The 24973-nt window shown below is 38.3% G+C and overlaps 1 protein-coding gene and 1 pseudogene across 12 annotated transcripts in view; one reads left to right on the forward strand and one right to left on the reverse strand.

Annotated features, from left to right (window-relative positions):
* TTC17 (tetratricopeptide repeat domain 17) overlaps positions 1-24973 on the forward strand; it is a 136012-nt gene that overhangs the window by 65871 nt on the left and 45168 nt on the right. For 5 of the 12 annotated variants that reach the window (NR_164824.1, NM_001376525.1, NM_001376528.1 and 2 more), the window contains 4 exons: positions 11374-11544; positions 18535-18794; positions 19266-19419; positions 23212-23332. Coding sequence is in view for 10 of the 12 variants with exons in the window: in NM_001376525.1 (NP_001363454.1) it covers positions 11374-11544; positions 18535-18794; positions 19266-19419; positions 23212-23332 (706 nt within the window). In the remaining 2 variants the exon portion in view is untranslated. Of the gene's footprint in view, positions 1-11373; positions 11545-18534; positions 18795-19265; positions 19420-21140; positions 23333-24973 lie in introns of those variants that run through there. The other 7 variants (NM_018259.6, NM_001376527.1, NM_001376526.1 and 4 more) reach the window with 4 other exon arrangements.
* RN7SKP287 (RN7SK pseudogene 287) lies at positions 10342-10607 on the reverse strand (annotated as a pseudogene).

The following is a 24973-nucleotide window of genomic DNA, read 5'->3' on the forward strand; positions in this document are numbered from 1 at the left end:
GTGTATTTTTAATAAAATAGTAGAAAACCTTGATGGGCAATTGAAGAAATAGGGCATTTCTCAGAAGGATAGTCTAAGCCCTGTAAGCAAGAGGGGGTCTGTTTTATATAGTTCCCCCTAGTCATTTAACAAGGTATTTTTAATATGGTTTGTTGCTGCAATTGTATTTCATTCTCCTTACAGGAACTGAAGGGGGCTGACTTCTTGTTATATACACTTGTGTGTAGTGAGTTAGGCAAGTTCATTGCATGTTGTCTAAATCTTGAGTTTTCATTCATCATTCTAGATGTTTTGGAGACATTTCAGTTTATGTAATGTTAAGCTTTGCCATCTTAGATAGCAAGCATTTATACAACTCTTCTCCATTCAGAAAGATGATTCTAGCTGGGCTTGGTGGTGTGCATGGTAGTCCCAGCTACTTAGAAAGCTGAGGTGGGAGGATCACTGGAGACCAGGACTACGAAGCTAGGGTGCACCCTGATCACACCACTGCCCTTAAACCTGGGAAACATGATGGGACACCTGTCTCTTGAAAAAAAAAATTTTTTTTTAATTATTCTAATTGGCAAAATACACAACCTATTCTACGTTGGTAGAGTGGGCTCTTTTTAAAATTTCTAAGTGATTTGTGCCTCAGAAAATTATGTTTGCTTTGAGACAGTTGAAATGAGTTCCTAGTTTTAGACTATTTTTTTAAAACAGCACCAACTATGTAAACCCCTTTTCATATTTAATCATTGTATGATCTCTACTCAGTTCCATGGTCTGATGGATATAAAGCAGCAAGTCTGGTAATCATTAGAAAAGAGCATTCGTGAGATTTTAAAACACATAAGACTGAGGATGTCTGCCATATATATGTGTACATGTGTATGCTGTTTGGGTTTTTCTCCCCCTTTTTTCTTTCATTGTTAGTATTTATTACTAGTGGTTGAATTTATTTCATACTGAGCCACTCTTTGGCCAGGAAAATCTCAGTAATCTGTTACTAACCAGCAAAGTATATTTAATTATTATCTCAAAGATGCAGGAGAAATTTAAATCACATTTCACAGATATTGAAAAGGCCATAGCTTTGGATTTGTCTTCCCGTTTAGTTGCCTTTTATAGGAACAAACCTAAATTTGTCATTCAAATTTTGCCATCCTTTAAACCTCTTTAGCTGTCAGGCTTTGTTAATAACCCAGTCAGGTCACAAATATACAGTGAGATGATTATGGAAAATAATAAGCACAATTTGCCTAAGTACATTTCAGGAAAAAGAGCTAGAGGTCCGTAGCAGCTGAGCGGATACTGCTGTCAAGCAAGTTTTCTGATTCCTGCTGCACCTCTGTAATAATAAAGCCCTATTTCACTTGATGATGAGAAATACAGCTAGAGAAAAACCTAATATGAACAAATTAATAATCAATTCACCACCCCTCTCACAGTACACTGGCTAAAAGCCATAAATGTTGAAAGTTGGGAGAGACTGAGTAAGATCCTGGAAACCATGTTATTACCTGCAAAGTGGCCACTGAGGTGAGTGCACCAGGTGACTTTCATTTGGTGGCATAAAGCAAGAGGAAACAATATGTAACAAAAATACATAATATCATCATGTGCTTTTCACTTTCCCCTTGATCATGCATTGGCCATATTTACTTACGGGTAAGTAGATATGTTCAAATTAAAGTGCCTATCTTAATTCCATACCCTTGAGGCAGGATCTGCAATCAGGGTATTAGGAAACTTTATTACTGAGATCCATCCACAAGTCTCTGCTCATAACATTGTTTGATAGAGGGACTTCAGCGGGATTTTTTAAACTTTGGTTTGAATATCATACTTGCTACCTCTACCAATGCAAAGGACATTTCCTAGTGCTTGATCTTTTTCCTTCTATCTAGGACCTATGAGGTATTACTAGACTCAAATCTTGATCAATTATGGAATAACTAGGATCTTGAGTTCTCATTTCAAGATACTGTCCTTGTAATTCACTTAATTTGAGGAGAAAAAAAGACAAAATAGCCTTTATAACTTCATTAGCCTCAGCCTTGCTCTATATCCTTGCTCTAGGGAAAAAGACAAGCCTGATAAGCCCAAAAAGTGCTGGGCATAATTAAGGATTGGTTTCTGCTCTCAAGGAGCTAGGAGAGTCTTGTTAAAGAGTTGTGTAATGTACAAGGTCTGTTGGTTTAAATATTATATTTACTACCTATACCAGTGGTAAGTTTAAATATCATACTTACTACCTAAACCAAGTCTAGTTTGCTAGTAAGTTTTAAATACCAATACCATATTTTAAACTTTGGTTTAAATATCATACTTACTACCTATACCAATGCAAAGGACATTTGGTTGGCCTAAATATCATACTTACTACGTAAACCAAGTCTGTTGGTTTTCCTACTCGATCACTTTCCTGTGTGTCAGCAGGTGACCACTTGTAGCAGGAAAAAGGAGAGGCAGATGGTAAACACTAAGGGTTGTGGGTAGCTAGGAAATCTAAGCCCCCTCCGACTGTTTGTATGCTTGTTCTGAGTTTAAGAATTGAGTGAAGCAGACTCACTGTAAGAGTGTGTGATTGAATCAGAAAGATATGTTGTATTTTACTCACTGACCGTAAGAACTTTGTAACATCTGCCTTTTGCAGAATCCGTGGAAATTGTACCAAATCTTGGTACCAAATGATGATGCTATTGCGGGTAGTTAATTTTCTTGACTACATACATCCTGCTTTGCTAGTTTGATGAGTTAGCACTCATTGCTTTCTGCAGCTCTATCCCATAACTCTCCAGCTCTTTCCCACAACACATACACATAAAAGTACCAATTTTACCCATCTTTCAAGACCCACTTCCACCATATGCCTTACTTGATCTTCTAATTATAAGTAATGTGTAATCAGACAATTTAACTGTGCCTCTCCTTTGGCTCCTGTGACTTGCCATGGTAGTTATCTGTGTACATCATACAACTCTCTAACAAGACTCCTAGCTCCTTGAGTACAGAAACCAATCCTTTTTTCATCTGCATACCCCAGCTCACCAAGCATTCCATACCCTCCCCCCAACATTTAGCACATAGAATATTCTTTAATGGCAAAGTAGCTGATGATATTTCAAGTCTGAACTACTCAGATAACTAAGTATTAAATGTAATAATGAGTAATTAACTTGTATCCACCCAAAGTTTGCCCAGAGTGCTTTCTAGGAAACCCCCCTCAATATACATAAGTAGATACAAATCTCCTTTTAAGGTCTACAGTTCCCACTGTAAGAGGGGGAAGAAAAATGGAATTGTATTGTCTTACTGGTCCAGTAGGAGCTAACATGTCTGACAAGTGGCCTGTATTGTCCCACCTTCAGTCCCTCCTGTTTTTAATGAAAGTTATAAACTAGTGTCTCTCTCGACCCTCATTGAAAACTAACACCTATGAGTCAGTCTCAGGAAGTCTGTTGAATTTGTTTCCCCAGTATTCTTGCTTAAAGAAAAGTTCCCTAGGCTGAAGTAAGCCAGAGATTTAAATTAAAAAAAAAATAGCTATGTCAGTTAATTTTCTTTTTCAATATAATTTCTGCATGGAAAAGTCTCATAGTAAACTTATAATGAATTTTAAATTTGCTTTAGATATGTAATCTGATCATTTACCTTTCTAGAAGCATTTATAACTGCTGAAAGCCTGGATTCTTCATTAAAATAGTTTCTAACACAGCCTACATGTCATGGTATCTGTGTCTCAACTGGTGCTGACTTTGCTTTCCGTGCTGTAGTCATTTAAGAGAAGGCCACATGGCAAGACCAAGAGGCCAGATTTATAGCCAGTTCTCCTTTCTCTACTCTAAAAGGCAGCAGGGCATATGGGATGCAGGGGCATATAGGTCTGCAGAAACCAATTCAGCTCTAAATTCTTGGGCAAAGCAAGTTTCAGGTGTGACCATGTGTGAACAGAGTATTTCCCAGGACAGAATTTAACTCCAGAATATGTAGTAAAAGGAAAACACACACACATACACATTCATATTTGGGAATCACATACTTTTCTTTCTTTCCTTCTTTTTTCCTGTAAACTCTTCTGACTTAATCACCTCACCAGGAGAGAGTGCTGATTTCTGGTCTTTACTATGGTCTGTTTTCTCTTTGCCATTGTACTTTTGAGGTCAGTCAGCACATAACCATTATTTTAAAACCTTCTGCAAAGAATTTCATTCAGCAGTAATTACTGAATGAGAACAAGTCTAAGGAGCCATTATTTCTGTTCAAATAATTTCTTTTTTCTTTCCCAAATAGAGGATAGAACAGGGCAGAGGAGGTGAGGCATCTTCATTTGTCTCAGGTACAGTCATCAGCAACCTAGGTTTCACCCAGATTCAGGTTCTGTATGCTTATATTAGCAGTGGTTTCATTAACGACGTTTCCCAAGAATCCTCTGACAGTAGGACAGTAGTTTGTTTCTCCATTTCAGAGTAAAAAATCCTAGACACAGAAATGTAAATTGATTTGCCCAAGTTTGTACAGTAAGGCTGCAGCCAAGGCAGGATTTGAATTTATACCATGGAAGTGTTCCTCTTGGTAAAAGGTCTGTTAGACTCTGTTACAACCTCTGGAGGTGAAAATCATAAAGGTATCTATTCCCAGTAAGGTCTCCTTTTCCCTCAGCTATACCTGTTACTCTGTGTGGTGCCAAAGTCCCACATGTCACCTGTAGTAAAAGCTTCCTGGTAATATTTTTAAGTAATTTTGTATAACAGTGGTGAGCAACTGAAAGATATATTTTTGTTCACTTCATGGTATTTTACTACCTCTTCTAAAAGACAGATTATATTTTACTAGAGATAAATATGAAATAGTGTTATTAGGTAGCTTAAATTATAATAAAAGGAAACAGTCACCATGTGTTTCTGAGCTACCTATTTCCAAAAGAAATCATTTTTAAAACTGCATAATTTTGAGTGCAGTTGGGTAGAAAGGTAAGGAGAAAATACTATAGAAAAAGTCACTCATATCTGTTAAAAGGATGATGATGTCTGTATTTTCCACATAGGTACTTTAATTGAATATATCGGAATGCTTCCTGTAGGGTAACCTTTCTGAAAGGCAGAAGAAAGTAGACTGTAGAGTATAATATAAGCCTGTTGGAGCAGGGATGGTAGGAAAACCGTTAGAATATTCCACTGTTTCACAAAGACTACTTTTCTAACATCTTTGCCTTAAATTTTGAATTATAGCTCCTATTACAAATCAGTTTATTATTTATGTCTTAGAAATTAGTTTTATAATAAATTGCATGGGAATATAACTTATATTTACTGTATGAAAACAAAAAGTTTGGGGAAGCTTCGACTGAAGCAAGATTAACAAACTAGAGGGGGCTGAGCACAGTGGCTCATGCCTATAATCCCAGCACTTTGGGAGGCCAAAGAGGGCAGATTGCTTGAGTTCAGCAGTTTGAGACCAGCTTGGGCAACATGCTGAAACCCTGTCTCTACAAAAATTACAAAAATTAGCCAGGTGTGGTGGCGTGCACCTGTAGTCCCAGCTACTCGAGAGGCTGAGGTGGGAGGATGGCTTGAGCCTGGAAGGCAGAGGCTGCAGTGAGCCCACATCATGCCACTGCACTCCAGCCTGGGTGACAGAGCAATTCTGCCTCCAAACAAACAAAAAAAACTAGAGGGAGGGAGTTGTTGAACAGCAAAGAAGTAAAAGACTATAGGTAACATGGTACCCATAGCCTATTTTCATATTGTAAGGCAGTCTGTCTATTAAAATGTCCTTTAGAGAGCACAGAGCCTACTGTGAGACTAATTTCTAAGTGTACTAAATATTTTGGGGCTTAGATATGCTAAGGAGTTTGATCTGAATTAATCGCTGCTTTCTTCTAAAAGATTGGTAGAAATGGACTCTATACTGCCCCCAGCATCCCCTACATACACGCACACACACACACACACACACACACACACACACACACACAAAGTTGAAATTATGCAGATACATTGATAACTTCTTTTTTTAATTATTATTATTATACTTGAAGTTCTGGGATACATGTGCAGAACATGCAGGTTTGTTACATAGGTATACATGTGCAACGGTGGTTTGCTGCACTCATCAACCCGTCATCTACATTAGGTATTTCTCCTAATGCTGTCTCTCCCCTAGCCACCACCCCCTGATGTGTGATGTTCCCCTCCTGTGTCCATGTGTTCTCATTGTTCAGCTCCCACTTATGAGTGAGAACATGTGGTGTTTGGTTTTGTTTCTGTGTTAGTTTGTTGAGAATGATGGTTTCCAGCTTCATCCATGTCCCTGCAAAGGTTATGAACTCATCCTTTTTTATGGCTGCATAGTATTCCATGGTGTATATGTGCCACATTTTCTTAATCCAGTCTATCATTGATGGGCATTTGGGTTGGTTCCATGTCTTTGCTGTTGTGAATAGTACTGCAGTAAACATACGTGTGCATGTGTCTTTATAGTAGAATGATTTATAATCCTTTGGTTATATACCCAGTAATGGGATTGCTGGGTCAAATGATATTTCTAGTTCTAGATCCTTGAGGAATCACCGCATTGTCTTCCACAGTGGATGAACTAATTTACGCTCCCACCAACAGTGTAAAAGCGTTCCTATTTCTCCACATCCTCTCCAGCATCTGTTGTTTCCTGACTTTTTAATGATTGCCATTCTAACTGGCGTGAGATGGATACCCTGATAACTTCTAATAGCAGGTTAATTGTTCATACTAGAGATTCTGAGTTGGCTATAACTAAAAGGCCTTATTTTAAAAAGATTACATTGGGATAACTTACTATTCCAGTGCAGCTTTTCAGGGAGTCAGGGCTAATAATAATAGCATCTTACCATGTGCTACGCAATGGTCTAGCTCTTTGCATGTAATTCTCAACAACCTAATGAAATGGATATTATTATTAAGCTCAATTTGCAGCCAGTGCAGTGGCACACGCCAGGAGGCTGAAGTAAGAGGATCACTTGAGCCCAGCAGTTCAAGTCCAGCCTGGGCAACATAGTGAGACCCCCATCTCTTAAAAGACAAAAACAAAAAACTCACTTTGTAGATGAGGAAAACGATTCACAAAAAGGTAAAGTAACTTGTCTTGCGCCAGGCTGTACCCATAACCACTGCTCTAATGCTCTTACAAAGTTTTGATGCCTCTCAATTCATTTGTGGCATTTCTTTATTATAACTAACCAAAAAGCATCCTAAGTTACCCAACCAGGAATCTCTACCAATATATGAGATTTAGAAGGTAAGAATTCTTTTTAACAAATAAGTGGTTACCCAACTCTAATTAGAAAGTGGAAAATACTCTTCTAGCAATTTGTAAACAATTAAGATGAGAAGATAGGAGATCCTGAGAACTTAGAATACTTTGAAAAACTGTTTAGCCACATGATAAATTGTGACTTTACCCGTCAGGAGACTTTACTTTGACAAGTATATTAAATATGTAGTTGTTTTTGCAAACACCCTTGTAGGATAGGTTAGTATTAATTACCCTATTTATGCAGGAGATATCTAAGCATAGAAAAGAATGTTAATATACTAGGATCTCATAGTAGTTCCAGAATCAGAAATACCCTTTTTGGAGTTTTATACTTAGTTGATAGTCTTGTAGTCTCTTACTTCTAAGAAAAACCGAACTGCCAGGATTTGAATTAGATGCTAAATGCTTTGCAAGCAAGTAACAGCATTAAACACAGAAAAGTGTTTTCCATTTTCACCTGGGACCTCGTTACCTAAAGCATTTTGTTTAAATAGTGTTGTTCCTTTAAAGAAAACTCATACCTCTCAAGGTTAGTGTAAGTCATAGAATCTCCCCATTTTTGTGTCAGCAAAAAATAAGTCTTATGCATAGAAGATGACTTGCTACTTTCCAGGTATCTTTCCATTTTTCCTTCTCCAATATTTTCCTGTGTTTCTTTCATGAGAACATCATTCCGACCTCTGCCAGGAAAACAGGCAATATTTTTCCACAAAGGCAACTTTTTTTAGTTCCCCTTTGAGCTGGAGCAGACCTATACGGTAGTCTAAAGAATGGAAATTTTAAGTTCTTCTGAAATACTTCACCTACCCTTAGAAACTGGAAGGAGTAATTTTTAAAATTAGATAATTCAACTATCGCCAAGCTACATATGCAAATCACATCAAAACCCTAAACCGGTCTGGTTTTTTTTGTTGGTTTTTTGGGTGTTTTGTTTTGTTTTGTTTTGTTTTGTTGGAGATGGAATCTCGCTCTGTCACCAGGCTGGAGTGCGGTGGCGCAGTCTCGGCTCGCTGCAACCTCTGCCTCCCAAGTTCAAGCGATTCTCCTGCCTCAGCCTCCCAAGTAGCTGGGACTACCGGCATGTGCCACCATGCCCAGCTAATTTTTGTATTTTTAGTAGAGACAGGGTTTCACCATGTTGGCCAGGATGGTCTCGATCTCTTGACCTCGTGATCCGCCTTCCTCAGCCTCCCAAAGTGCTGGAATTACAGGCGTGAGCCACCGCGCCTGGCCAAACTGGTCTGTTTTTAACAGTTGAGCGTAAGAACGTTAGTATTCACAATTCTACTCTTAAAGCATGTAGCTTTTATGTGATCATTTTGATGCCTACTTCCAAGAAATACCCTAACATAAACCTCTTACTCTTTTTTTATTCCTCCTGTTCTCCTCCCGATTCTTCTTCTCCTCTCCCTCTGAGAGATGTTGGCCCCAATTTTGTGAATTTGAGGACAAGACATTCTTAGAATGCACATGGCTTGCACAAGATGTCTGAGTTTGAGGTCATGCAGAAGGAGTAATTTAGCTTCAGGGTCCCTTGTGCACATAATATTTTATAAATTACCTACAAGATATTTTTTCGTATTGCATAAGTTTAAAAAGATGAGACCAATTAAATTTTTACTGTGGGCAGAGGGTGGGAGAGAAACAGAAGAGAATCAAATGTTGAGGGAGGAAATCAACTTCAGAAAACACAGAGTTTCACTGGGTTCCAGTCTTAAATGTTTGTCGTTTGCTTTTATAATGTTTTACACAACATGTATCAATGTGAAGAATGCTTTAATCAGCATCATTGTCATAATTATTTCCTCTCTGCTTTTAATAGTCGTGCTTATTTATATCCCAATTAAGAATTGTCTCTGAGAAGTGTGATGTTCTTCATAATAAATTATACTCAATTGGGTGTGCAGAGTTGGTTGATGTCATTATTCTGTTTTATTTTAATGCTCTTATGTTTAGCTCCCCTGACTTAACTACACATACCAGATGGTGAAAATAGAAGTGGAGGCAAATTAACAACCTCTGTCCTGTCATAGGAGAATCTGGAGAAAGAAAGCAACTACCATTGCTCATGGCTTCTTTCCCATTAGCCCTCCATGGGCGGGGACACACACACACACACACACACACACACACACACACACACACACACACACACACACACACACACTCTCATGGCCTCTTTCCCATTAGCCCTTCATGGGTGGGCACACACACACACCACATTCAGTCTTTTACAAGTTGTACTTTTCACTGCTCCCAAACACAAATGAGAATTCCTGTGCCTGTTGCTTTGCCCAACACATTATTCTTCCTTGCCTAGAATGCTGCCTTCCCTACTGATCGGCGGGGGGAAGCCTAGAAGCCTTGTAATAAGATAAACCTGATCCAGATCTCAGATCTACTACTTACTTTTGACTTTAGGCAAGTTACTTTATTTCACTGAGAATCGGTTTCCTCATTTCTAAAATGAAGATGCACATGGTTTTTATGAGGATAAAGTGGAGGAAAAAATATAAAGCATTCAAAAAATATTTCTTCCATTTCATGTAGTTCCCCTTTTATAAGTCCTGCCTATTCTTTAAAATTCGAGTTCTAACTACTCAAAGCTTATTCTCTGAAGCACTTATTTGGAACAAGTATTCTTTGCTGTCTTGTATTTACTGTCTCCCCAAGTTGTTTGTCGATTTCTTGAGAGCTAAAACTCTTAAAACAAAGAATCCTCAATTTCTGACATAGTCTTGTTAAATATGGTAGCCTCCAATGTATAATAGTGTAAAAGTGGAAAATGGAAAATGACTCTCTAAGCATGTGGTCCCCTTACTCTAAAGTCATTAAGTTGGAAAAGGTTTTGAGTCCATTACATTTTCTTGGCACAGTAAGGGAGATGGCATTAGAAGTACTTCCTTAAATTGTGAAATCTGAAAGAGAGCCATCAGTCAAGAAAGAGACATCTTGTGTTTCCACTCATGTGGAGAGAGCTTGATTTGGTGAATCTGTACACACAGATAAGATGATAGATAGATAGATAGATAGATAGATAGATAGATAGATAGATAGATAGATAGATCGGTCTATCTTTGAGACAACATTCTCTAAAAATTAAACATAGAATGTGTTTGAATGTTCTGGTAAAGGAGAACAGCTACTTACACACTCTTAACCAAAGAATTGTCCTCTAACAGGAAAGTTGTGATTCTCCAATGAAAATGCATTTTCATTGACAATGTCCATGGAACACAAGGGGGAAAGAGGACACCTGTTCAGCTTGCCAGATCAGCTAGAACTAATCAAGGGTAGTCAAAGGAGGGACAGATGTCAGCCAGATTGCTGCCATGTTAGATATAACTATCTGGTAACATACTCCCCTACCCAGAGAATGACCATCAGGTATAGCTGAATAGTGGGGGTTTGGGTTCATATTAACACAAAACTCTTAATAGGATCAAAATCCTTTGACTCACAGGTAAAAGTCGCCATAGAGGTCATTCCCACTATACATGCCGAAAGTTATTTTTATTGATATGACCAGAACCTGTTTTCCAAAAGAAACATTGCAAAACATTTCCAAAAGTTATATTGCAGCCTTAATTGTTGACTTTCTGCCATCATCCCCCTTTAATTCTTTGGCTTTTAATTTTTAATAATTCCTCACCTTTTGGTATATCTCATTTTAAGCCATGATGCAAAAATAGTATTTTTCTCTGCTATAATTTATCTCAGACTTATCCAGGTATTAACCTGTCATTTCTCACAAATAGAAGGAAAGCTTTTTGATGATATTTCTAACTTCAAGAAAATATTTCATGGCCATTATGAATGGAACAAGGTCTTGGGGCTTGATCTTTGTTGTTACAGTTGTTTTTCTCCTCCTAAATACTTGACAATAGCCTACAGCTGAAACTTGAACTTCAGCGCAAAATCTTGAATCACAGTAATGATCTGGCTTTGGGTGCTGCAGCTCACTGATTTTTGTGTGTTCTGCTGAAGAAAAACCGGCATTGTCACATTTTTGCTCTTCTTGATATTTTAGGACCTTGTACTGTAGTACTACACGAGAGATATTTCTAATGTGCTATATCTGTGTCTCTTGTCATTGAGGTAATTGTCATGAGAAAACCCTGGACAACAGCCATGACAAACAGAAATATTTTGACAACTCACAGTCACTGGATGCTGCTGAAGAAGAGCCCTCTGAGAGAGGAACAGAGGAGGACCCTGTATTCTCTGTTGAGAATTCAGGGAGGGACTCAGATGCCCTTAGACTTGAAAGTAAGTTGATTTGACCTGAGCTGTGCTTCTGGGGAAAAATCAACTCTCAAGCTTTAAGCTTAGGCTTTTCTCTACTTTTAAGAATTTGTTTTCTTCTTTAACAATCATTATATTGTAGCATCATGAGGGTGACCCCTAGGTGGTGAGGCAGAAGACAAGCTTTAGTGTGAAAGTGTTCACACCTCAGTGTCTTCTGTTGCTAGAACAAATCTGATTTGTTTATGTATCAGTCTTCTTAATGTTACTGGTATATTGAGTAAATCATTATAAAAGGAAGATAAGTTGCTTTTACATTAAACCCAGTAAAATATGAAGATTTGGAATAGTGGGCTTACCTATTACGCCCTCTCCTAAGATTCCATTTTATGACCCACATTTTGAGCTATATTGTACTAAACAGTTCTTGCTAAGATTATCAGAATTGCCAAAACGCATGACTTCTTTTTAGTATTCACCCACTTGACCACTTTACTCTATCTGGAACCATGCATAACTCATCCCCACTTCTTGAAACTCTCTCCTTTCCTCTTGGCTTCTGGAATATCACTTGCTCTTAGCTTTCTTCTATCCACACATCATCTTTTAAAATTTCTTTCACTTACACTTTATTCTGCCCTTTATTTGTTGGGTTATCCAGGATCCTAACTTTGACCTTCTATTCTCATCCTTCTATGTATTATCTCTTGGTGATTCAAATACCCTTGACTACACCAATGTCTCCAGACCTATATTTCAGCTAAGACATTCTCTACAACTCCAGATCTTATTTCTACTTTTTTTTTTTAGCGTACTCTTTATCTGGATGTGCCATAGGCACTTAAATGTAGCATATCCAAAATTGAACTCTTCTTCATATTGGCCCTATTTTCTGAAATGCTTCTAATTTCTGTATTCCTGATCTCTCTTAAGAACATCACAACTCACCCAGGCACCACTGTATCCAGTCAGTCTCTCAGACCTGTTGCATCTATATCTCTTCATTTATTCCCACTGCCACTGCTTGAATTCAGACTTTCTTCATTTCTGCCTACACTATTGCAGTAGCGTCTTAATTTGGCTCTCTAAATCTAGTCTTTTATTTTAGTCTGTATGTGAAGAAAGAGAATACATGTAATCAATACAGAATTTTAAAGGCGGAAACAACCACTGTTAACTAACTTTTTGTGCGTCCAAAGAGTTGTTTCTAAAATGTAAATCTGATCAGATTTGCAAGTTACTTAATCTTCCTGAGCCTTTCTTACCTCATTTATTTAAAAACAAACCAACAAAAATGCTGTATAGAGTGGTTTTGAGTATTTAAATGAAATAACTTTGGGAAGCATTTATTTTAGTGCCTGGTACTCAGAACCCAGTAAATGTTCTACAAATGTAGATATAATTGCATCTTCAGGAGTCAAAGTCTTTACAAACACATACACATAGTACATGATCAGTAAACATCTGTTCAGTTCAAGGGAGCCATAATACATTTGCACAAGAATTGTTACAGGAAAGATTCCCTGTTTGCTTTTCTGGGTTATCTACTCAGAGTTCCCAGTTTTCTCTTGCTATAGTGACCCAGCTAAAAAAAGGAAGAACGCCACTGGTGGCAACAAATACTTATGATTATTGTTTTCTGCTCAGAAGAGAATGATTTCCCTACCTACCTTAATCCGAATGATTTAATCTAAGCCTTTTGCGCTTTCTGATTACTGGCTTGAAATTTTATGTCATTGTTTATATGTTAAATTGTAAGCATATCTGCAGCTTTCCAATCTGACTTCAAATCAGATCACTGCCTTTTAAAGAGAACCCTAGGACTGAAGACAGAATTGCCCAAGGCCCTATGGTGGTAATCTTTTTTTGAGGAGTCTCACTCTGTCACCCAGGCTGGAGTGCAATGGCACGATCTCGGCTCACTGCAACCTCCACTTCCCGTGTTCAAGCAATTCTCCTGCCTCAGCCTTCCAAGTAACTGGGATTACAGGTGCATGCCACCACACCCAGCTAATTTTTTTGTATTTTAGTGCAGATGGGGTTTCACTGTGTTGCCCAGGCTGGTCTCAAAGTCCTGAGCTCAGGCAATCCACCCACCTTGGCCTCCCAAATGCATGAGCCACAGCGCCCGGCTGTATGGTGGTAATCTTAATTTGGAATCAAGTTTGTCTAATTCCTTAGAATACTCTTTCTCTTTTGTGAGACAAAGGGACATATTCCTTCTACAGTATTGTTATTAAAGATAGTATGTGCCTTACTTGCCTTCAGAAGCCACAATCTTAAGTACTCTGGCACCCATTGATATTACTCATGCAAGACTTTCTGGAGGAAGATGTTGTCGGTCAGATTTTGTTGGCCATCTCTTTGAATTTGTGTTCTTTACCTCTTTCTATGGCTGTGTTTACTTCTGTCTTGTTTTGAATCTAGCACTCATCTTTCCATCCTCTGCTCCCTAAACTCCTTGAAACTTCTCTTCCAAGATTGTTAATGTTGTTTCTTATCAAATATAGTCACCTTCTGTTAATTGGCTTCTGATATTCCACTCCCTCTCAATAGTGTCCTCTGCAGCCATTAACTGGCTTCTGTTTCTACTCCAGGTATGATGATCCCAGTTTCTTCCCGGATAACCATTGTCATTTGATCCAAAAGTCTTTCCTAATATTGAGCCTCTCATTTCTAGTTTTGTCTTATGAGGCTAACAGCATCAGTCTTGTTTCTCATTAATAGCACATTCCCTTAGGCGTTGAAGATGGTTATTGTTCCTGCCTACCTTCCTTTCCTATGTCTTTGCTTCTCTTCAGTTAAATGTCCTCACTTCCTTGAATAACTTATGTTATGGCATCTAGTCTCTTCATTGTCTTTGAAGTAATCTCTTTGGAATTTTTCAAAATCTTTTCAAGCCCGAATTTTTGGTGCAATATATCAGCTACTCTTCCTGCCACTGGATCCCCGTCGACTTCTTCAGTCTGTCTTCATTTAATGTGGTTTTGAGTACTTTTGCCAAGTATATTTTCTGTGAATGTGCTCTGCTTTGGATATCTCTTAAAGTGAGGTGCACAGACTTAAACATGAATCTCCAGATGTGTGTGGAACATTACAAGCTTCTTTTTGTTTTCAACAGGACTACATATGCATAGCTTCATGTCTTGTTTTTTTTTGGTTTTTTTTTTTTTTTGAGATGGAGTCTTGCTGTGTCGCCCAGGCTGGAGTACAGTGGCGCAATCTCAGCTCACTGCAAGCTCTGCCTCCTGGGTTCATGCCATTCTCCTGCCTCAGCCTCCCGAGGTGGCTGGGACTATAGGTGCCCACCACCACCCCTGGGCTAATTTTTGTATTTTTTAATAGAGACAGGGTTTCACCATGTTGGCCAGGCTGGTCTCGAACTCCTGACCTCAGGTGATCCTCCCGTCTCGACCTCCCAAAGTGCTGGGATTACAGGCGTGAGCCACCGCACCCAGCCCGTAGCTTCATCTCTTAACACTTCTCCTAGTCCCTGTGATTCTTGATAGTACCTAATATGGCTCAGATACAAGTATAAACCTTCCCACTACCCTGGAATAGGCTTCATCTCAGTAAAGGATGTGAACTCATATAAACCTCACTGTGGATGCTCACATTCTCTCCAACTTCACAATATTTATTCTTCTTCCCAGTGTGAAAATGGTGCTTGGTAACGAAAATCAAGAAAAAATAGGCTCTGTTTTCAGTTTATATCATACCATCTGTCCTACAAGCAGCAAGCCTAAGATTTACTTATTCCTCTTGCTTCAAGCATAATTTGAAACCTTCTGAGATCTCTCTACAATCCAGACCTTTCACCAAACCAGAATTCGGTATTTTCAGCTGTATAGGACAGTTGTGTAGGACAGTGTTCTATATAGGACAATATCTGAAGATACATTCCTCCATCCATTCTTGTCTAGACTGTAAGTTCCATGGGTTGTTACAACCCCAGCCCTCAGCACATTGCTAGATACAGCAACAAACATTTTCATGAATTAATGACAAGTGTCTACAATTCCAACTCTTTATCCTGTTGCCCTTTCCTAACTCCATTGTCTTTATAAATATCATTCTGTTTACATATTCACAGATTCTAAACCTATAGTCATATATTAAAAATCCCAGTTTTTCACATTAGACTGAAAAATCTTGAAATCACCTTTGAGCCTATCCTATTACTAATTTTTCTCCATTAACATTTCCTTGTATACCTCTTTACCCTCTCTTTTTTAAAGATTCCTTTTCCCTTTACCTTAAGACAACCTACTTCTGTAACTCTTATAAAGATTATTCAATACCTTTCTAATTGGTCTCTTTGTCTTCTGTCTTCTCTTTCCTTGTCCAACACCCCAGTTCCGATACACAAACTGATTTACTACTCTAAGACTTTAACCTTTGTAATTATTATGGCCCTCATCCTGTTATTCTTCTGTTTAAGAAACAAGAGGCTCCCTTTACAACAAATCCTCTTCGTGACTTTCCCACACATTTGTAACATCACCTACCTTTTCCTCAGTATCTTATTTGTTACTATCCCCTGTATACATTCTTTATTCTAATTAATTTGAAATTGGTAATGCCCTCACATGTGCCTTTACTATCCCTGTATGTATGTGTGTAGACAAATGAGTCTATGCATACATGCTTTAAAAAAAAAAAATTGTTAACTCTGGAAGGCTGGATGCAGTAGCTCACACCTGAATCCAAGCACTTAGAGAGCCTGAGGTGGGCGGATCACCTGAGACCAGGAGTTCAAGACCAGCCTGGCCAACATAGCAAAACCCCATCTCTACAAAAATACAAAAAAAGTAGCCAGGTGTGGTGGCCTGCGCCTATAATCCCAGCTACCTGGGAGGCTGAGGCAGGAGAATCACTTGATCCCAGGAGGCAGAGGTTTAAGTGAGCTGAGATCACACCACTGCATTGCGCTCCAGCCTGGGCAACAGAACAAGACTCTATCTCAAAAAAAAAAAAAAAGTCCCTATGGGGAGTGACCTCCCTGACCCTCTACTCTTATCTGTTTAAATCCTGTCTCAGGTAGTCCGCCTTTCTCTAAGAAGCATTTTGTGATTACATGCAAATATTTTTTCCCTCTAAAAAAAAATTAATTTTTCTCTTATTATTTCATGTATGTAGTTGTCTGTCTCCAACTTGATTATAAATTCATTATATTTCATTTCTTAAGGTTAGAAACTTTCCATTTTTTTTTGTTCCCACCTACAGCTTACAGAGATAGACATATAGTAGGCTGTCAATAAAGTTTGGTTTATTTTTTGCTAACTCAGAGCACACTTATAATCTACTTATTCTTCACCTGTGAGGAGAAAATATAAAAATATGTACATATTTAGTGTTGTTTTTTTAGGAATTGCTTTCGCCCCAACCCCAGCAGCCTTTAGAAAAGCTTAATGGCTACCAGCAACAGAAGCCTTCAGCAAGCTCCATATTCTCTCTTCATTTGAATATCAGTTTCCATTAATGAAAGCCCCTCTCTCTCAGAATTTTTAAATAACGATAAATATTACCATATGGTAGGAGCACAAGGAAGCAATCACCTTGGGTTACTGGGTTTGCAGAACTCTTCGTAGCTAAACAGCATGAATTTTTTCCAATGTGTTGCTTAACGACAGGGATATGTTCTAGGAAATGCGTCCTTGGGTGATTTTGCCGTCGTGGGAACATCATAGAGTGTACTGTACTTACTTACACAAAGCTAGGTGGTATAGCCTACTGCACTCCCGCGTTATATTGTGTAGCTTCTTGCTCCTAGGCTACAAACCTCTACAGCATGTTTATGTACTGCAATACCGTAGGCAAGCGTAACACAATGGTAAATATTTGTGTCTCTAAACATATTTAAATGCAGAAAAGGTACAGGGGAAATACAGTATTATAATTTTATGGCACCACCATGGTATATGCAGTTCATCATTGACCAGAACTTCATTATGTGGTGCATGGCTATAATACCATGTTCTAAATCCCTGAACAAGCCAGAATTACCAACTGAAGATTATTGCACTAGAATAATGAAACTGGCATTTTGTGAGGTATCAACCCAGAGCTCTCAGGTTTTCCTGTGGGTACATGTTACAAAAGGAGACATTTTGTTATTTGTTCTTGTACCCTATCTACTTCCTAAAGGGACTAGGGATGACTTTCATGGAATGCACAGTGTAACATCCAGCCAATTCAAAATAAACAGGAAAAGTTAAGTAGTGAAGAATTTTTTAAAAGAAAGCCTTCTATTAAGAAACTCGGGCTAATTTTGCCTGAGCTTCCTTGTTATTCAAGCTTAGAGGAGAACTCAAGAGGGCTGTGTAACCTTCATTGGATAATAAAGGAAACATACTGAGTTCTCAGGAGAGAGAATTTTTGCTAGGCCATTACACTGAGAGTCTTCCATAGGAGTCTTTATGTAAGAGACTTGAGCCACCTAAATAATATCTTGGTAATCATTTTAGAAAGAAATTATTGTAGTATATTGCTATTTCTTATATCAGCCATTTAGTGAAAAATGGGAGCCTTCATGTAGAATTAGGATAGTTTTCCATTAAACAAATCATTTTTCAATTAAGGCAATTAAGCCAGCTATATGGTCTGGACACACAGCTATGTCCAGATACTTGAATAAACCTTGAAGAATCCCATATATTAAATAACATAATAAGCTTCATCCTTGCCATCTATGTTTTGAATGTAGAGCAAGTGGATCTTTTTTAAAAAATAGTGTATCACATACCTGTCCCCATGCTCGCTAATAACAGAATCTCTGACTGCCTGCTCTCTAGCTGCCACTGTTCTCAGCCAGGCTTTTGGCAAACGCTAGATGACAAAGTTGGTATTTTATTATGTATTTTGAAGATGCTGAATGGAATTTTTATTACATTGGGCTATAGTAGTGCCTCTAAGCAGAGCCAAAACGTTTCTCCAAAAGCAGGGTTGGAGTCACCCAAGGTCTTGAATGAGTACTGTGTACCTTTTACTAACGTGCTGGCCCTTGAATTTCAGGTACGGTGGTTGAGGAGAGCAATGGTTCTGATGAGATGGAGAATTCAGATGAAACCAAAATGTCAGAAGAAATACTGGCTTTGGTGGATGAATTTCAACAGGCATGGCCTTTGGAAGGCTTTGGGGGTGCACTAGAGATGAAAGGGCGGCGTCTAGACTTACAAGGAATACGGGTGCTGAAGAAAGGTCCCCAGGATGGAGTGGCCAGAAGCTCTTGCTATGGAGACTGCAGAAGTGAAGATGATGAAGCAACAGAATGGGTAAGTTTGCCAACTTAATTCTCACAAAATTGTAGCCCATGCCTTTCAGGGGATCCTAATATGCAAAGTGGGAAGTTTCTGTTGGATATGTGGCACTACTTGGCTATGCACTCCAGGACAGCCTTCACATTGGAATTTTATTGGGAGGAAGCATTTCATGTTACTTATGTATTGCTGGCTCTTCTGGAAGGCAGGAGGAAATGGGATGGGTGTGAAGCCACTGTCAGAGCCTGCAGACTTGGAACTGTCCAGTTCAGACATCTTTCTTTTCGGTTTCTTCTATACATTCTTCGAGACTAGGTTATTTTGTTCATTTCACTAACCATTTTTTATTTAGGTCTTTAAGAATTAAACTCAAGGAGAGAACTTAACCTGAGCACAGTACTTGGTTATTCTTAAACTAGTATTCACAAATCATTGACAGATTTGATCACTGGTCTCATTTGTCCCTAACATGTTTCTGTTTCCCAGATTACATTCCAGGTCAAACGTGTAAAGAAACCCAAAGGAGATCATAAGAAAACTCCTGGGAAAAAAGTAGAAACAGGTCAGATAGAAAATGGACATCGTTACCAAGCAAACCTAGAGATCACTGGCCCCAAGGTGGCATCTCCTGGGCCACAAGGTAAATTTGAATGTTTAATATGCCAGTTTCTTGTTTTAGATGTCACTATCTCATTTCTCACAAAGGTTGTATTTGTAACTTGAAATAGTTCAGATGAGATGATAAAGGGGCAAAGTGTGGTCAAGAAACCAGTCTATCTTCTGTATCAATGAAAAAAATGTTCAAACTCTAAAACATTATGGAAATGCAAATTCCAGTGGATTTAACATTATGTGTAATAAATCATAAAGGAAGAAAAATTAGGTGAATATTTACATGCTCTTTCCATGTGGAAAGAACTTTCTAAGGCAGAGAGAGGGAAAGAAAATAATAATTCTGACACTGGAAAGTACCACAAAATAAGACAAAGGACTGAAGCAAAGTTTTTTTGTAGATTATTTTTGTATATATTTACAGAATATATGATAAGCAGAGGGTATCAATATCATTTAAAGAGCACCTACAAATCAATATGAAACATACAGTATTTCAGTAAAATACGTGCAGCGTACATAGGCAGTTCACCAAATACATACACACACACACACACACACACACACACACACACACAGATGGCCGCTAAACTTGAGAAGATATTCAACCTCATCAGCAATCAGAGGAGCGCAGACATAAACAGTAAGATACCAGTTTTGATTATCAAATTGTTTTTAAATGTGTAACACACATTTTATTTAACTGAAGTGAATTTTGCGGCAGTCTGACTAGACGCATCAGAAAATTTAAAAATATACCAGTTATTCTACTTCTAGTAATTTACCCTAAGTAAATCATCTTACAAGTGCCATAGATGTAAGTAGAAAGATTATTGATCATGGGATTGCTTATAATAAAAATTTGTAAACAACATAAATGTTGTAATTGCCTAAATAAATCATAACACATCTATGCTGCATAATATGCACTCAAGATATTGGTAATATAGTAAGTAAAGAAAAGCAATTTATAAAGTAGTAAATGTAGAGAATACCTTAATCATTATGCTATATTTCATCAACTACATTTTTTTCACATTTCAATATCTCTGAAATTGGAATACATCTTACAGTTGATAGTATCTTATATAATAATTGCCACTGTTTTTCTTTCTTAAATCCTGTAAAATAATGTATGTTTACAGTTGGCAGCATCTTAGATTTGATGAAATATGGTATAATAAACAAGCACATAGAAACAAAACTAGCATGAAATACATCAAAATGTTATAAACGGTCATCTCTGGGTGCTAACAGAGCTATAGGTGATTTTTATTTTCTTCTGTATGACTTTTCCATTTTCTAAATATTTTACAATAAGCCTATATTACTTTTATAAACAAAAAACTAAAAATTTATTATAAAAGTGAAAACTAAAGCCGAATATGGTTGAGATGATACGAGAGCACTTAAGCAGTTTTAAATGTATTCAAGTTGGTGGGCCCAAGTAGGGCATTGAATGTACTTGCAAATGAGATTATGGAACTACTTATTGGCATTAAAGTGAAAAGCTCTAAAGCATAGAGGACAGAAATACTAGAGAGATTCAAAAACCCAATTTTCAAATTAGTATGGATTCTATTCACTGCTAACTAATCAGCTTCATGATGAATCCTAACCAAGTTATAAAGCAAAGTATTAAATAGTTTGTGAGCCCATGGGGGAAAAATGGAGATCATTAAGAGCCATTGTAGATTTTCTAAGAACTAATAATAATGCTTAACTAATTTCATTTCCTTTTTTGGTTAGGGCTACTAGACTGGAAGACCAGGAAAGTGCCATAGACATAATGTAACTGGATTTCAGCAAGGCATTTAACAGAGCCTCTTATGATATCCTTGTGAACCAGATGGAGAGATGTGGGCTTGAAGCCTTCCCATTGCCTACAGGATAAAATTCAAACTTCCTAGTGTGGTGTACAAGACCCTTTACAGCCCGCCTCTGTGTACCCTTCAACACCATTCTCTGAACCAACCATGCTCATGTTTTTACCTCAGTGCCTTTGCACATGCTATTCCCTCTGCCTGGAATGCCCTGTGCCCCCTCTGCCCTCTGCCGTGCTAAAATATCACTCATCCTTAAACTTCAAAATCAAGTGCCATCTCTTCCTTGTTACCTTCAGGCAGAATTAGTTACTCTTTCCTCTGTGCAATTGTTCTATATCTTCGCTCTAGCTCTTTTCCTGTTGTATTGTAATGATTTGTTTATGTTTACCTTCCTTACTAGACTGTGAGCTCAAGAGCAGGCCGTCTTAATTATTCCTTTCTGTACCCCTAGTGTCTTTTATGGTTCTCAGCCCCTTATAACAGGTGCTCAATAAATATTTTTCAAATGAAATTATTAAATGTAAAAGAAAATTAAGATTTTTTGTGAAAATTATGGCTTATTTAAGTTATTAATTTAAACAGAGTTAATTTGAAACTCTTCCAAAACTGTTCCTTTCTGTTTTGTTAAAATCTCAATCTAAACCCCTGCCTGTACCTCAAACAGTTTTCTACTGTTCGTAAATTCCTATAATATAAAAAGCGCTATACAGAACTAAAGTTCTCCTTCCTGCCTATTCCATTATAACTCCTTCAGAAAACCCTTCCCAGACAAGACAGTTCTGCTCTTTTCTTGGGGATTTGATGTAAGTAAAGGGCCCACACCCAAAAGGTGGTACTTACGAAGGATATTAATAAACAGAGCTTTAAATTTTTTTGTAGCTTTAAATAGCTTGTTGATTGGGAACATACACGTTAGAGTCAAACAGACTCCTAGCTCTGCCAGTTGCTAGCCAGGTGACCTGGACAAGTCACTTAGTCTCTCTGAGTCTCTGTTTTCTCATCTGAGAAATGAGGGTTAAAACCTACTTCAGGCCAGATGCAGTGGCTCACATCTGTAATCCCAGCACTTTGGGAGGCCAGGGTGGGAGGATCACTTGAGTCCAGGAGGTTAAGGCTCCAGAAAGCTAGTATCATGCCACGGCACTCTAGCCTGGGCAAGAAAGCAAGGTGCTGTCTCTAACTTAAAAAAAGAAAAATGGAAAAAACTTAACCACATGAGGTTAAAAAAAGAAAAATGGAAAAAACTTAACCACATGAGGTTAAGGATGTAAAGCACTTAGCATGGGATCTGAATACACAGGAAGTGCTCTTCAAATAGTTGATAACCAGGCTGGTTCTTGGACTGTGGTGGTGTGGTGGGGGCTGGGAGGAGATGATAATCTTTCATTAACATCATTACTCCCTGCTGCTCTTCTTTATAGTAGTGGTTCTCTCTACTGGGTGTGGACATTTGGCAATATCTGGAGACATTTTTGTTGTTATATCTGGGGAACAGTGCTACCACCATCCAGTGGGTGAAGGCCAAAGATGATGCTAAACACCCTCCAATGCACAGGACAGGTCCCTCAAAAAATTATCCAGCCCAAAATGCCAATAATACCAGGTTGAGAAACCCTGCTTTAGAGATAAATGTTTCTACTAAGTTGGAGTTGTCTTTATAAAATCAAAATACAGAGGGGCAAAAATTAAGTTTGGTAAGAATGTTAACATTGAAGAATGCCTTAACCCCTTATTTCATGTTGATCAATCTTAAATCTAGCAAAGGACTCATTTATTCTTACTTCTCCACCTATCTTTACTCAGAGATGATCTTTAGTTCCATTGCATAATGACGAGATTTTAATTAGATCATAGATGGGGGAAATGTTAAAGACTACAGGAATGACTAGCACCTCCAAATACACCAATCCAGGTGAAGTAATCACCAGGGCATAAGGCCCTTTGGGTTCTCTTCCTTTGCAATTGTGTGGATTCATGGCATACTTTCCTTCCAGGAAAAAAACGTGACTACCAGCGTCTGGGATGGCCCAGCCCGGACGAATGCCTCAAACTCCGCTGGGTAGAGCTGACTGCCATCGTGAGTACCTGGCTTGCAGTTTCTTCAAAAAACATTGAGTAAGTATGTTAAGCCTCTCCCTCCTTTATGGCATTTGAGTCCCATTGAACCCAGCTGACTTTAAGGATCCCCTCTTAGCAGCTAGTAGAAGAGTTATCCTTTCTAGAGCTGAATTTTCAAAGGATGACCATGCTGACCATGGCCCCCAGGTGGACCCAACCCATTGTAGCAAAGCAGTGAGTGTGCCCCCCTTCCCGGTGCCTTCACCTGTCCTTTGTAAGCTATCTAGCAGCCATGTATAACCTGCTTAGTTTGAATTGAAGACTGGATCCTCTCTATAGAAGCACAAAACCCATGGTTTGTCATGAATATCATGCAGTTGTAAGGGAGCCAGAGCAAATCCAGATTTGCAAACACCTACCAAGACATAGTAGATGCCTCTGATAACTGCTTTTTCCTCACTGGACACTCGCTCTCTTTTGCTGACCCCTTTTCTACCCTTTAAGTGTTGGAGTTCCCCAGGATTTACCACTAAGCCTTCTTATTTTGTAATCACTTCTAGTCAGACTGATCTACTCCCAAAATTCCAATCAACACAAAGATGTACTAACAGCTCCCAAACTTGAATCTCCAGACCAGATCTTTTTACAATGCGTTCAACTCATTTGTCTGTCTCCCTGACCTGTCTGTCTAGATTGCACTCAGGCAACCCATGCTCGGGAAAACTAAAGTCATAATTTTCTTGCCCACTCTCCATATTAAAAAATTATTGTTTTTTTTTGTTTTGTTTTTTCTTTTCCTATTTTTAGTAAATAGCTCCAGTAATGCTTAGGCCAAAAACCTGGGAGTTATCCTTAATGATTTTCCTCCCTTGCTCTTCAAATTCAGCCTGTTACCAATTCTTAGCACTTTTACTCCCTGAGTATTTTTCAAAACCACCTACTTTTCTCCATCCCCATTGCTGCCTCCTCAAACCAGAGCATAACCATCCCTACGTCGGTTCATCCAGTACTTCCTAGCTGGTCCTCTTGCTCTGTTCACTCTTGCCTCTGTTCAATCTATTCTCTCCACAGTACTCAGAATTCTTCAAATATAAGTCAAATCATTCTTAAAGCACTCTAGGAAATTCTTAATGCTATTTAAAGTGGACCATAAAGCCTTTCTTGATCTGCTCCCTGCCTGTTTTTTCATCCTCTCTTTTGCCCTCTCTCCTGCCAGGGCTGTCACACGTGGTGTCTCCTTTGTCTGTGGCATTGTTCTCACTGTGGGTTCTCAGCTGGTTAATTCATACTAAACCTTCTGGCCTCAACTTAATCTTACCTCCACAGAATCCTTCACTAGCTACCCTCCTCCACCAGTGCAGAGGCAACATATATCCTCCTGGAGTGTATTATCATTGCACCATATTTTATCTTTTATAACTTACCACATGTAATAAATGAATCACTCACAAGAGAATGAACATGGTAACAGCAGGGACTAACTATGTTGTTTTACTCATTATTATAGTCCTTGTATCTGACATGTAATAGGCTCTAAATAAATAATGAGTGAATGTTTGCCTAATAATTGTTAGACTTTTTAAATAGCTGCAAGTAAAACATGGCAGTGCCAATTTGTCATATTAGTGCATATGATAGTCTATAATAGTAAGCTTGTATATGGTGGGAAAATGAAAGGAAGTACTTAGTCTTACACCT

This window comes from Homo sapiens, chromosome 11 (assembly GCF_000001405.40).
Source record: "Homo sapiens chromosome 11, GRCh38.p14 Primary Assembly".
In the NCBI taxonomy this organism is placed as follows: domain Eukaryota; kingdom Metazoa; phylum Chordata; class Mammalia; order Primates; family Hominidae; genus Homo; species Homo sapiens.